The sequence below is a fragment of the Homo sapiens genome, chromosome 3, assembly GCF_000001405.40.
Source record: "Homo sapiens chromosome 3, GRCh38.p14 Primary Assembly".
Taxonomy (NCBI): Eukaryota; Metazoa; Chordata; class Mammalia; order Primates; family Hominidae; genus Homo; species Homo sapiens.
The window spans coordinates 171041772-171056254 of NC_000003.12; the positions used below are offsets into that span (position 1 = coordinate 171041772).

Below are 14483 nucleotides of genomic sequence, written 5' to 3' on the forward strand. Positions count from 1 at the left end.
TAGAGTACAGTGGCACACTCTGGGCTCACTGCAATCTCCGCTTCCCAGGTTCAAGTGATTCTCCTGCCTCAGCCTCCCGAGTAGCTAGGACTACAGGCATGTGCCACCATGCCTGGCTAATTTTTTATAGTTTTAGTAGAGATGGGGTTTTACCGATGGTCTCAATCTCCTGACCTCATGATCTGCCTGCCTCGGCCTCCCAAAATGCTGGGATTACAGGTGTGGGCCTTCCAAAGTGCTGGGATTACAGATGTGAGCCATTGGGTCCGGCCAATTAGATAGATCCTGATTTCTTAGAGTAGATCTTAGGGATAAATAAGCCAATAACAACTAAAGCGTGAGCTTTGATGTGTAGACTTGAGGGATAGGATTTGGTAAAGAGAAGATAACTTGTCTGACAGTAGTGTGAATGTGAGTTGGGTGGGGCACTGGGTGGAAGGGGAGAGAGAAAGGACACCAAAAAGAATGGAGGTTGGGTCTCTGGGAGAGCCTGCTGATGCTGGCATATTGTTTCGTGTAGGTGACACTCTGGGACTTATACTGACCTCTTGGAGTTCCCCCAGCAGCGAACCTTGGTAGGGGTCCAGGGAGGTGAAGTTGTGGTCCGAGAGCATCATGAGCTGTATCTCTAGCCACATCCATGCAGTGGGGAGCCTGCTAGAACCTTAGAGTGTCCTGTGCTGGAACTAAGAGGGGAGAACATGGAGCTGGTTGTTGATACCAATTCTGTCTGTGGCCCCCAATAAATAGGCCTGTTTCCTTTATTTCTTCCCCCCTGCCCCACCTCATTTTAAACTTACCTAGAATTGAGTCAATTCATTGGAACTATGTAGGTGGATTACTAAGGAATTCATGGATTCTTCTGGCTATCTTAGTGGTCACCTGGACAGACTCAGACAATAGAAGGTGACTAAACCCGATTTACATAAGAGGCCCCTGAGATCTCTCTTTCTCTCTTTTTAAAGCAATCTGGTGATTTTAATGTATGTAAATCTACTTTAATAAAAATTAAATAATTATTAATGTTTTGAAGGCTTAAATGGGAGGTTATATCTTATAGACAAAATAAAAATAAACAAGTGAAAACATTTAGAAAATGAGAAATCCAGGAGCTGTAATATGTGAATAATACAATAATAGATGCAGAATGCAAAGACAGAATATAAAGAGAAGTGATGATTACAGCAAGGGAAAAATAAGGAAATAAAAAGACTTGACTCTTCTTTACTCTAAGGAACAACATGCATCTCCGGATATAAAAGTATTTTCTGAGTCTTATGCTGGCTGGCTGGCTTGCTGGCTTGCTGAATGAATGCATATATACTTATATACATACATACACAGAAGACACAAACCTAAGGCTGATCTGGTAAATGATGCAAATCCAAATTAAGAAATTAAGTCTTATAATGTTCTATATAAAGAGGGCATATTACATGGGAAGAGAAGCAAGAAAATTTTTTCTCCCCCATGGTCTCAGTGTAGCTTTATTGAAAATTAAGTCACAAATTACAACACTCATTGGGGAAGATTTGCCTTCCTCTCAATTACAGTTAATAGAAGAAAATTAATGTAGCAATTAATGTGGCCTTTATTAAGGGCCACAGCTTAATAAAGGTTTGCTATTCCTGTGTTTAAACTCTTGGGCCATAACTTACATAAGAAACACACAAAAAATAGATTGCTTAACATTTTAAGCGTTCTAGTTATTTTCACACATGCCATATTTATTGAAAAGGACAGAATACATTGAATTTTACAGTATATTAAACTTCATCTAATTTGAACGTAAGACTGGCAAAATAAATGACCAACTTCTGAAACAGAAATTACTATTTGATTAGTGCCATTACAGAGCTGCTGGCATTTTATCATGTTCTTTTAAAAAAAATGTAGTAAGAACACTTAACAGGAGGTCAATCCTCTTAACAAATTTTTCAGTGTACACTACATTATTGTTGACTATAGATTCTGTGGGCCCTCTTGAGCACATCCCAAAGGCAGACCTCTGTCCACCAGGTGCAAGGCAAAGGAAGCAACCCTGGTCTCTGCGACTGTCATGGAAAGGGGTGGTGACTCCAGCTTTCCACTGACCCACTGTGGGGCTACAGGTACCAGATGGAAAACTACCTAATAGCTTATATATGAGTAGGTGCCGTTCCTACCTTTTAATTACTTCTCCTTTCCAAAATATTTACTTCATTTTAATAGCAAATTAAACACAAATACATGAGGCCATTCTCACTGGGAAAATTTTATAAAGTACAGATAAAACTAAAATGAACCTCTGTTGCCCCCTTGACAAGATGCATCCTCAGAGGTCATCTCTGTTTTTGGTTTGGTGAGTATGTTTCCAATTCACCATCCTCTTTGAACTTTCTGGACTTGTTTCACTGGTTTCTGTTATGATGAGGTTTTTATTTCATTACTTCACAAGAAGCTTCCTATTAGTTTGCTCTTCTCAGTACGCCATGAAGTCTGTATACAAGTGATGTCCAATTCCTCAGTCCAAGCTCAGATGTCTGAATACCCTTTCCCAGCACCCTTGCTTGTTTAAGAGACAGCATGAGAAAAAGATCAGCTGTGTTACTCCTTCTTCCAGGCCAGATGATTCTGGTTGACTCCCTTACCTTGTGGACTATGGCTTTGGAAAGGAAGAAGTGTACCCTTCTTAGAATGGTTTTATATCTCTTCTGAACCCAAAGCATCTTGTAAAATGGAGTTCATATTCACGAGGGTTTGGAGCACTAGACTAGGGTCAAGAGACCTGGTTTTGTCCTCCCTCTGCAAGGGTTGGGCTATTTGATTATGGGAAAGTCTTGCTTAACCACTCTGCTCTTTATCTGTAAAACAAAGTAAATAATCTCTAAGTGTCCTCACTTGCAAAATGGGGATAGCATCTGATTCATGGGATTGCTGTGAGGATTAAATATGATAGTGGGGATATATTGCTTAGGACAAAGCCCAGCACATAGTAATTACCTGTAAATATCAGCTGTTATTGTTTTTCTGCTCTGTTTCCATGATTCTTTGTTCTTAATTTAACATCCTCTCCAAAAATTAATATGGGGTCCTGTGACCCTCTGGGGTGACTAGCCAGGCGACCTCTACTATTTTTTTTTTTTTTTTGTCCTGGAGCTTATGATATTTGGCAATAAAGGCAGTTTTCATTAAAGGAGCTAGGGGCCACTTACTGAGTGGTCAGTCCCCTGGATTTGTACTATTATGTCGTGGAGGTTTGACAATCTGTGGCAAATTCCTTTGACACGTGTATCTATGGCAGTGTTTCAGCAAACACTGTCCTAATTAAGTAATCACAGGGCGGTTCAATCTAAATTGAATGGTGCTGCTTCATGCAGAAAATTTTTGTTTGCAATACTTGAGTCATCTCAGTTTAAATTAAATCTATTAAGATTCTCTGTCTAACCATTTTTCAAACTCCTGACCTCGTGATCCGCCTGCCTCGGCCTCCCGAAGTGCTGGGATTACAGGCATGAACCACCACGCCCGGCCTCTAACCATTTTTCAATCAAATGTGCCGAAATGACCACAAGTGCTCTGCAGGTCATCTTTCTGAGTTTGTGTGTCTTTAATGTCTGTGGGTTAATCATTTTCAGATAGTGTTTGTGCTATTTTCCACCACTGCCTTCTATACCAGTTACTGCTGATTTGCAGGGTGCTGAGGGAGGCTTATGAAGTTGACATAAAAAGTGGGATCGAAGATCATGAGGTTATTGTTGAGGTTTAACAAACAATGTTGGTCCATGTTGTTGACCAATAGGTCACCAATAAAAGAAGCAGTGTCAGGGAGAAGCGATTCTTGTGTTAGCTGTTTGTCAGACACAGAGGAGTTCCAGGAATGTACTGTAACAAGCAGATGGTGCAACTCGGTGGTGGACAAGTTGTTGACTCAGGCATTCTGGCTCTTTTCAGAGACATTGAGAGTCAGTGGCAAGACTAGTAAAAGTAAGACAAAATAGAATTTCCCTCTCCCTTACACCTTAAAGTCACCTCCTCTGTTGGAGCAGAGCAAGTGGATTTGATCAAGTACTTTGTGGTGGATGGTGGGGAGAGGAAGCAGTCCTTTCCTTTTTTTCAGTGATTCAAATTAGAGTAAAAAATTGGCCAGGCGCGGTGGCTCATGCCTGTAATCCCAGTACTTTGGGATGCCGAGACGGGCGGATCACGACGTCAGGAGATGGAGACTATCCTGGCTAATACGGTGAAACCCCATCTCTACTAAAAATACAAAAAAAAAAATTAGCCAGGCGTGGTAGTGGGCACCTGTAGTCCCAGCTACTCGGGAGGCTGAGGCAGGAGAATGGCGTGAACCCTGGAGGCGGAGCTTGCAGTGAGCCGAGACTGTGCCACTGCACTCCAGCCTGGGCAACAGAGTGAAACTCCGTTTCAAAAAAAAAAAAAAAAAAAAAAAAAAATGAAGGCCACTTGGGGCTGTGGTCTCTGAGCGCTCTAAGTTCCTTGTAGATATGCAATGTTGTGCTTTCAGGATAGTAAAAGAACACAGCAAGGGTAAGGGGGTAGGTCTGTGGCTTTATGCTAAAGGGCAAAGAAAAAGAAATATTCTAGGCCGGGCGCAGTGGCTCACGCCTGTAATCCCAGCACTTTGGGAGGCCGAGGCGGGCGGATCACGAGGTCAGGAGATCGAGACCATCCTGGCTAACATGGTGAAACCCCATCTCTACTAAAAATATAAAAAGTTAGTCCGGCGTGGTGGCAGGCGCCTGTAGTCCCAGCTACTCGGGAAGCTGAGGCAGGAGAATGGCGTGAACCCGGGAGGCGGAGCTTGCAGTGAGCTGAGATTGCGCCCCTGCACTCCAGCCTGGGCGACAGAGCGAGACTCTGTCTCAAAAAAAAAAAAAAAATTCTGAGTGTTCCCATAGGTAAGTATCTGTAGTGACATTCTATTCTAGTTCATCTGTGGTGATTATAGCCCCAGCCAGGACACAGCCCTAACATTAAAGCATACCTGATCTTTCGTTCCCTTGACAGAGCACCCAACCTAACTCATGCAGTGTCCTTACAGATTTCTTGCTAAGTGAAAATTCACGTAGCATTATAATCCATTAATTTGCTACTGCAGAGCCAGCTCTGACAAGGAGATAACTGCTCCAGATGCCAAAGCACTGAAAGATTGTTGTTTGAAAAGTTTATTGGGTAATGAAATAGAAAAGCATCTCAAATGCCAGATGCACAAGGTAATGTTTTGTCTGATTGTCATTGTTAACTCCCGCTAGGGCTATAGTTGGAATGTTAGTGGGAATGTAGGACGAATAAACAGGTTAGGGAAGAAACCATGGCTTTGCCACAGAAACTTGATAGGTTAGGCTAAATTTGAGTCTAAAGATGGGTGTTCTTTCATTGAGGTACAGTTATATTGATTTATAGATTATATATATTGATTTATATATTGCTTTTTTTTAACCATTAAAGCTTAAGGAAGCAGTTCAATACAGGTCAAAATGTATATAATAGGAATATAAACACAAAAGTACCAGATGGAAATATGCATCAAACAACAGACAGCCAATAAAAAGTAATTTGGCTTTTTAAAAAGGGGAAGAAGGGACAGTATGATTATGAGTGTTGAGAGTGGCATAGGCAACAAGTGTATGGGTGTATATCTATATCTATAATCTATTTTTCTCTCTAGATATATATTGTACATTAGTTAAACAGGGGTGTCCAATCTTTTGGCTTCCCTGGGCCACATTGGAAGAATAATTGTCTTGGGCCACACATAATATACACTAATGATAGCTGATGAGCTAAAAAAAAAATCGCAAAAAAAAAAATAATGTTTTAAGAAAGTTTATGAATTTGTGTTGGGCGGCATTCGAAGCCATTCGGGGCTGCAGGTGGGACAAGCTTGTTTTAAAACTAACAATGATATTCTTTTTACGTAAGTATTTTCTAAACTTTCCCTTGGATTTTATGGGCATATTATAAGAACAACTATGTACGAAGTTTACAAAGATCTGATCTGGAAACACAGCACAATTGTGAGGCAGGCAGGAATGATCTCATTACCCCTACTTTAGAAAGAAGAAAACAGATGCTTGGAGAGCGATTTGTTTAGGGTCATCAAGCTCTGACTTAAGATTTTATTCTTCCATATATTTCAGGAATAATGTCCCACTTCTTAACTTTCTCTTTTTCACTTTATTTTCACCTTTTCTTTTAGTTAAAGGCCAAGGAACAGCCTTTCCCAGGGTGCTGTCACTGACATTTACACCCTTGATTTTAATGTCTTAGGGACTAAATGCTCTTTGGTGAGATGCTATTCAGGTTTTCTTTATTTCAAAGAAGAGTCATTATTCTTCATCCAGTCATTATTATTGGAGTAGTTCAGTAGAAAAAACACTAGACTGGTAATCAAAAGAGCCGGCTTCTTATTTAGATTCCACAACTCCCCAACCCAAGTTCTTGAGCAAGTTATTTCTCTCCTAGTCTCCATGTCTCCATTCATAAAAGGAAGCAGTTAAACAGGATGAGCTCTAAATTAAAATTAAAATTAGGGAGAAAAAATTTAAAATATGATGAAAAATAATTAGCATACCTGATTAAAGCATAATTAGAACATGCAAGGAATAGATAAAACCAATGAAACAAACCAAAAACTTAAGAGTAAAAAAGAACTTAAGTATAGATTAAAAACTTATAGATAGGGTGGGTGCGGTGGCTCATGCCTGTGATCCTAGCACTTTGGGAGGCAGAGGTGGGTGGATCGCCTGAGGTCAGGAGTTTGAGAGCAGCCTGGCCAACATGGCAAAGCCCCGTCTCTACAAAAATTAGCCGGGCATGGTGGCAAGTGCCTGTAATCCCAGCTACTCAGGAGGCTGAGGCAGGAGAATCGCTTGAACCCGGGGGACGGAGGTTGCAGTGAGCCAAGATCGTGCTGCTTCACTCCAGTCTGGGTCTAAGGGCGAAACTCCGTCTCAAAAACAACAACAACAACAACAACAACAACAACAAAAACTTATAGATAAAATGTGAATAAAAAGAGGAAAAGGGTTAAAAACAGGTAACATACAAAGGTGAGTTGAGAAATTTAAGCATAAAATACTCAAAGAATAAGGAAAGTGAAGTATGAAGAATTCAAAGTCACAAAGAAGTAGGAATTGACAGCTATCAAATAAGAGAGAAAGGCAAAAGCAAGTGCAAAACAGTAAATAGCTAAGCCAAAAGAAATCAGAAGAAGACATGTATAAAAAATAAGTGTTAGTAAATAAGTAGTAATAAATTTTATCTCAACCTAAGACTAAGAGACAATAAAAAGGATGGTAAAAATAAATGTTTGAAAATCAAAAGGGGGTAAACATGAAAAAAGAAAAACAGTTAAAAGCAATATAAGTAAGCAAAGTATATGAAAATAAGGCAGAAATGATAGCAATAAAATGTGCCTTTCAGGGAGGTTTTTTTTTTTTTTTAAAGATATTTCAAGAAAAAAAGAAGAAAATGATCTGCCTACAAGAGCAAGTAGGTGTCATGTGTCCTTAGCAGTCTTCTGAGCAGAGGTAACATGTTGCAGTATAGAATCTCTGAGGAAACTCAGGCCTGTGATGGACAGCAGAGCTCCCAGCTGCCAGGAGGGGTGTGCCCCGCAGGATGAAGCCCATCCAGGAGGTTTAAGTGTAGATGAGGAGCAAAGTCAGTGGGCCAGATGGCCCCAGTGGCTGGTCCAGCAGACTCTAGCCTTTCTTCTAAAAGCACTACTTGGGACAAACGATGGCCACTAAGATGCCTGTACAACATGAGAAAGAGGTGGTTGTTTGGACACACTTTTGATGTCTATATAGGCTGGAAAAATGCAGAATTGTTCAGAGCAGAAGGAAAAACTCCAGACGTGTAGTCTTCCTTCAAATTTGTGATTGCGGGTTGTCTAGGACTGTGGGCATCAAAATGACATTCCTGCTCACAGCAGGATGGGGATGGTCGAGAAGTTTGCCTTAGTAACAAGCACTCAGGTGATTCGTATGATCAGAAAAGTTTAGGTTAGTAGGACCACACAATAGCTTCATGCATCAAAGCCGAGGTTCAGTAAGGACATTTGAAGGATTAGTTCTACAGGAAGCAACTAAAAAGATGTCCAGAATTATATGCACGAAATGATTCACTCACGGGGAAAGAAGTTGGGGAGTGGGGGTGAGGTGGGGAGCTACCATACCAACATATGGTAATTTTGGCCATTCCTAACAAATGGTGTTACAAACGTTGCCCACCAGAGGTCAGGCCCGGCTGAATCAGGAAAGCCCTGTGGCATATGTCAGGAGGTTGGGCATAGGAGTCAAGAGAGAATGCTATACGTTGTTCAATTGAGTTTAAGCCTGAGGATACCTCTGTGCTTGAGGCTTTACATGGCAAACTGAAACCTGGTTTTGTACATAGATTGACTGAAGGCCTATCTTAGGAATATACTCTTGTAACACGTGGCTGAATCTTAGGCAATCACAGCAGTTTAATTTCAACTGATTGGCCACCAGCTGATTCAAGTAAGGAAAAACACTTGGTAAGCTGTCACTGTTGTTTTCTGTCCATAATGTCATCTGACCAGTTTGCAGGCCCAGAGTTCTTTGAACCTGTTCTGGTCTTGAGTGAGGGCTGCCCAATTCTAAAACTGATAATGAAAGCCAATTAAGATCTTTAAACTAAATTTGTTGTAATGTTGTCTTTTGACAACATTCATGTAGTCAAATTTCCTGCTCCACTAGCACTTTCTCTAGCCATATTGAATGATTTCCCATTTCTGTACCCACATGCTCTTCCACTCCTCTGTGCCATTGTTCAAGTCTCTCCCTCAGGCTGGAAAGCCTCTCTCTTTTTTTTCCTCTCCCAATGTCTTATGAAGGCCATATCCCTTCATTTTTGTCCCATGCAATCCTTGAAATCCTCTATCAAATGACTGACTCTGTTCTTTGTCATTATCTCTGTTCATGTCTCCTGCCTTCCTCATGTCCCCTGCAACCTAGGGAGATCGTTTCTCCATCACCTCTTTCTGCCTCAGCATCCAGTATGAGGCCTGTTATAGAATAGACAGCTGATAGATAAATGGCTACTTTGCTTTCCTTCACGTAGATAGTACATACTGCTTTAGTGGCTCCTCAGAAGCCAGATTATAGCTGCCTCAAATGTTTTAAAAAATAAGATGGCATATAAACAGGTAAAAAAAAAAATACGATGATGATATTGAATTCTCTGACATCTAAAGGTGATAAGGGCAGCCATATTAAAATGAGCTGAAACAATGACCATTAACATGTTATCCACATTAAAACGTTGCCATAAAACACAACCAAAACAAAAAGGGGATTCTCAGGGAAAATATTGACAGTTAAAAATTTTCCAAACCATGGTCTAAGACCAGGGATTGGGTGATATATCAAGAGGTCCAACACCCCATCTGTATACCAGGCATTGTTTGTAGCCTAAATAAATGATTCATATGTATAGTAATTATTTTAAAAATGAATGTGGCTTATAAAATGCAGCTTTATTTAAAACTGTTACTAAACTTTTTGTTGCTTTTCTGTTTCTGAGGTAGATAGGAGGTGAACTCATCATACTTTTAAAAATTGGGAATGAATTCTTTTGGTAAATGAGGTGACTAGGATGCAGTTAGCTTATGACTTCTGAGTTTCGCTGTGTCGTCTGTTTCACAGCATATCCACTGTGATGGCACTAAAGCCTATAGAGCTTTCTTAAATTCCACTTACTTGATGAAGCCAGCAAAATAAATATAAATCATGGACATTAGGCAGGGTGTCTGCTTTGTTTCCAGTGCTGGGTGATGCTCTTGGGTTTTTTCCTATCAATTTTTGAGATGGGCAGTATATTTCTATACTGAAATAAGGTCTGGACTTTTGTAAAAGTTCTCTACAGCAGTTGTTACCATATATTTTTAGATGTTACTAGCTAGGAAAAATTTCAACAAGAAAACTGAAGTCTCCACCACTGATATGGTTTGGCTGTGTCCCCACCCAAGTCTCATCTTGAATTCCCATGTGTTGTGGGAGGGACCTGATGGGAGGTGATTGAATCATGGGGACAGGTCTTTTTTGTACTGTTCTTTTGATAGTGAATAAGTCTCACAAAATCTGATGGTTTTAAAATGGGAGTTTCCCTGCACAAGCTCTCTTCTCTTGTCTGCTGCCACGTGAGATGTGCCTTTTGCCTTCTGCTATGATTGTGAGGCCTCCCTAGCCATCTGGAACTGTAAGTCCAATAAACTTCTTTCTTTTGTAAATTGCCCAGTCTTGTGTATGTCTTTATCAGCAGCGTAAAAATGGACTAATAGAATAAATTGGTACCAGTAGAGTGGGGTACTGCTGAAAAGATACCCCAAAATGTGGAAGTGAGTTTGGAATTGGGTAACAGGCAGAGGTTGGCACAGTTTGGAGGGGCTCAGAAGACAGGAACATGTGGGAAAGTTTGGAACTTCCTAGATACTTGTTGAATGGCTTTGACCAAAATGCTGATAATGATATGGACAATGAAATCCAGGCTGAGGTGGTCTCAGATGGAGATGAGGAACTTGTTGGGAACTGGAACAAAGGTGACTTGTTGTTTTAGCAAAGAGACTGGCAGCATTTTGCCCCTGTCCTAGAGATTTGTGGAACTTTGAATTTGACTGAGATGATTTAGGGTATTTGGCTAAGCAGCAAAGCATTCAAGAGATGACATGGGTGCTGTTAAAGGCATTGAGTTTTAAAAGGAAACAGAGCATAGATGTTCAGAAAATTTGCAGCCTGACAATGCAATAGAAAAGAAAATCCCATTTTCTGAGGAGAAATTCAAGCCCGCTGCAGAAATTTGCCTAAGTAATGAGAAGCCAAATGTCAATCCCCAAGACAATGGGGAAAATGTCTCCAGGGCATGTCAGAGACCTTTGGGGCAGCCCTTCTTATCACAGGCCCAGAGATTTAGGAGGAAAATATAGTTTTGTGGGCCAGGCCAAGGGTCCCTCTGCTGTGTGCAGTCTAGGGACTTGGTGCCCTTCGTCTTGTGACTAAAAGAGGCCAAAGTACAGCTTGGGCTGTTACTTCAGAGGTTGGAAGCCCCAAGCCTTGGCAGCTTCCATGTGGTGTTGAGCCTGTGGGCACACAGAAGTCAACAGTTGAGGTTTGAAATCCACCTAGATTTCAGAGGATATAAGGAAACACCTGGATGCCCAGGCAGAAGTTTGCTGCAGGGGTGCGGCTGTCATGGAGAACCTCTGCTAGGGCAGCGTGGGAGGGAAATGTGGGGTCAGAGCCCCCACAGAGTCCTTACTGGGGCACCACCTAGTGGAGCTGTGAGAAGAGGGCCACCATCCTCCAGACCCCAGAATGGTAGATCAACCAATAGATTGCACTGTGCGCCTGGAAAAGCCACAGACACTCAATGCCAGCCCATGAAAGCAGCTGGGAGGGAGGCTGGACCCTGCACAACTACAGGAGTGGAGCTGCCTAAGATCATGGGAACCCACCTCTTGCATCAGCATGACCTGGTTGTGAGACATGGAGTCAAATGACATCATTTTGGAGCTTTAAGATTTGACTGCCCTGCTGGGTTTTGGACTTGCATGGGACCTGTAGCCCCTTTGTTTTGGTCAATTTCTCCCATTTGGAATGACTGTATTTACCCAATGCCTGTACCCCCATTGCATCTAGGAAGTAACTAACTTGCTTTTGATTTTACAGGCTCATAGGTGGAAGGGACTTGCCTTGTTTCACATGAGACTTTGGACTGTGGACTTTTGAGTTAATGCTGACTTAAGACTTTGGGGAACTGTTGGGAAGGCATGATTTGTTTTGAAATGTGAGGACATGAGATTTGGGAAGGGCCTGGTGCAGAATGATATGGTTTGGCTGTGTCCCCACCCAGATTTCATCTTGAATTCCTATGTGTCCTGGAAGGGACCTGGTGGGAAGGGAATGAATCGTGAGGGCAGGTCTTTCCTGTGCTGTTCTCGTGATAGTAAGTCTCTCAAAATCTGATGCTTTTAAAAATGGGAGTTTCCCTGCACAAGCTCTCTTCTCTTGTCTGTTGCCATGTGAGACGTGCCTTTCACCTTGCACCATGATTGTGAGGCCTCCCCAGCCACGTGGAACTGTAAGTCCAATAAACCTCTTTCTTTTGTAAATTGTCCGGTCTCGGGTATGTCTTTATCAGTAGTAATGAAATGGACTAATAATACACCCACTCAACCCCAAATCTTGTGAAGAACAACAAAACTGTCAACTTTTAATTTTGCCAAACTAGAGCATTTAATAAAATAGCCATTTATTATCAGCATCAGCTCTCAAATACATTGTAACACTAAAATGAGGGCACACCATCTCCAAATAAGACGATCTTTAAATGAGCTTTTATACAAAACTCACTATGCTGTCCTTTTTGGTCATTTTTCCTTGGACTAATGATAACTTTGGCCTGAGCTGGCTAGGCTTCCAATTATGAATGTGGCTATTCTAGTGAGAAGGAATGAGATGGGGGAAGAGTATCAAGTTGACCTGAAGGCTATGCTGTTTCTTTCTGCTCCAGTGATGCCTTCTAGCTCTAAATCCTTCAATTTTTCAACTGCCATCTCTCTTATTAAATGGGTTTAATAATAAAAGATAACCTGAGATCCATGGAGCACTGGGTACAGTGCTGAAAATGTTCATCAGACCGTGATGCTGCTGATCCCTGCCCTCATGACTATGGGTAAATTAACATTGAACTTTGGACATGAAGATGACTAATTTTTGGAGGGAGATAACCCTATATCAAATTGTTATTGTCATAGAACATGGATTTAGTTGCTTATGAAAATATAAAAACATGTATTTAAGCTGTTGAGTTACAATTTTAAAGAAAACCAACACCCTAAAATATTTTTTTTCACATATAGAGAACTCACTTTGAAAATGTTTTTGTATCTTAACTGGAGTTTGTGATAATCTAGATTGTTCACAATGACTGTGACACCTTGTCCCATTTCTTAGCATCTTTTTCATATTTTCCATCTATCCCTGAAACTAATGTCCTGCATTTTTCAACAGGACCTCAGGAATCTGTAACTAAGCACCATGGAACTCCAAAATGCTTTTGGTCCTGGAAAGGTGAAGACCTTGATCCTAGCTATTTAGCATGAATTACACACTATCCTTAATCTCAACAGATTTGTGAAAAGACACAAAAAGTAATGAGGACCAAAAAAAAAATTCTTTCACTGTTATATTGCTTCATATGACATCATTTTGTTATCTTCCTTCTTTATTTTTTAAAAAGATTTATTAAGTGAGCAGGAAAATACATGATTGAACAAATGGAAACTACAGGGTGTGCCCTTTACAAGACTGAGTGAAACAACAGATTAATCAGAAGGCATGTGTCAATTTTCTACAATGAAACTTCATGCAACATTCAGTGGAGCTGAATATATACAGATGTTAGAGGCTTCCCAGGGAGGCAGAATTGTTGTCCTTGGAAGATTGTTAAGACCCAAATGTCATTAGGCTGTCTTCAAGCTGCATTTGGCAGGAGGATACTTTCACTGTTGTTTATTTCTTGTTTCAGAAAAAAAAAATTGTTTTTTTAAACATTTAGACCAGAAAACAAAATTCAGAATCCCCACCCACATCCAATAACTGCATTTATTGCAATGCCAATAGCTTAAAATGGATCATTATCTGTAAAAATGTAAGAGTTTTGAAATACTGCTTTTCTCATGGTTCTATATGACAGCCCTTCTTACGTTCCTGCAACTTGGCCTGTTAGGATGATTCATGGAGCAAGAAAGTATAGCCAGGGTCATAGCCCGGTGTCTTCCATCCACAATAGCCTTCCAGGAAAGAAAATCTGTAGGGTTTTCTATTTTCTATATGACATAAAACCTATGCTTTTATGATATAAACTTTGGAGACAGTGTTTTTTTTTTTTTGAAACTGAAATTAATCATATAGTTTTTTACCCTTTAAAAAATTCCAAAGCTCTGTTATTATTTTCATTCATTCTTTCATCCAACAGATATTTACTGAGTGACTAATATTTGCCAAGCATTCTTCAAAGCACTGGAGACGGACCAGTAAGCAAAGTATATGGTGATAAGTACTGTGAAAGGCAATGAAGCAGAAAATGAGTGGGGGGATGAGAAGTTATTTGACACAGGTCTCTGACAGTACAGGAATATTTGTACAGAGACCTGAAGGGAGGGAGTCAGCTATGTAGGCATATGGGGGAAGTTTTGAGACTGAGAGACAGCAAGGACAAAGACTCTGAGACAGAACATGCTTTGAGGGTGTTCTGGGTGAAGGAAGGAGGCCAGTGTGACTTTAGCAAAGTGACAAAAGAAATAGATGAGGTCAGAGAAGTGGCAGTGGCGGCTGAGGTGGGGCCAAAAGTAGGACAGATTATCACAATGCCCTTCTAGGCCACTGTAAGGATGTTGACATTCCAGGTGAGATGGGAAGGCATTGAGGGACTAGCAGAAAAGTAGCATAACC

The 14483-nt window shown here is 40.8% G+C and overlaps 1 annotated feature.

Annotated features, from left to right (window-relative positions):
- Nucleotides 8175-8384: a silencer, noted in NCBI's record as "silent region_14889". NCBI's record gives its function as "represses an Ori minimal core promoter by ATAC-STARR-seq in GM12878 lymphoblastoid cells {active_cell/tissue: GM12878}" and the evidence as "EXISTENCE:reporter gene assay evidence [ECO:0000049][PMID:35858748]".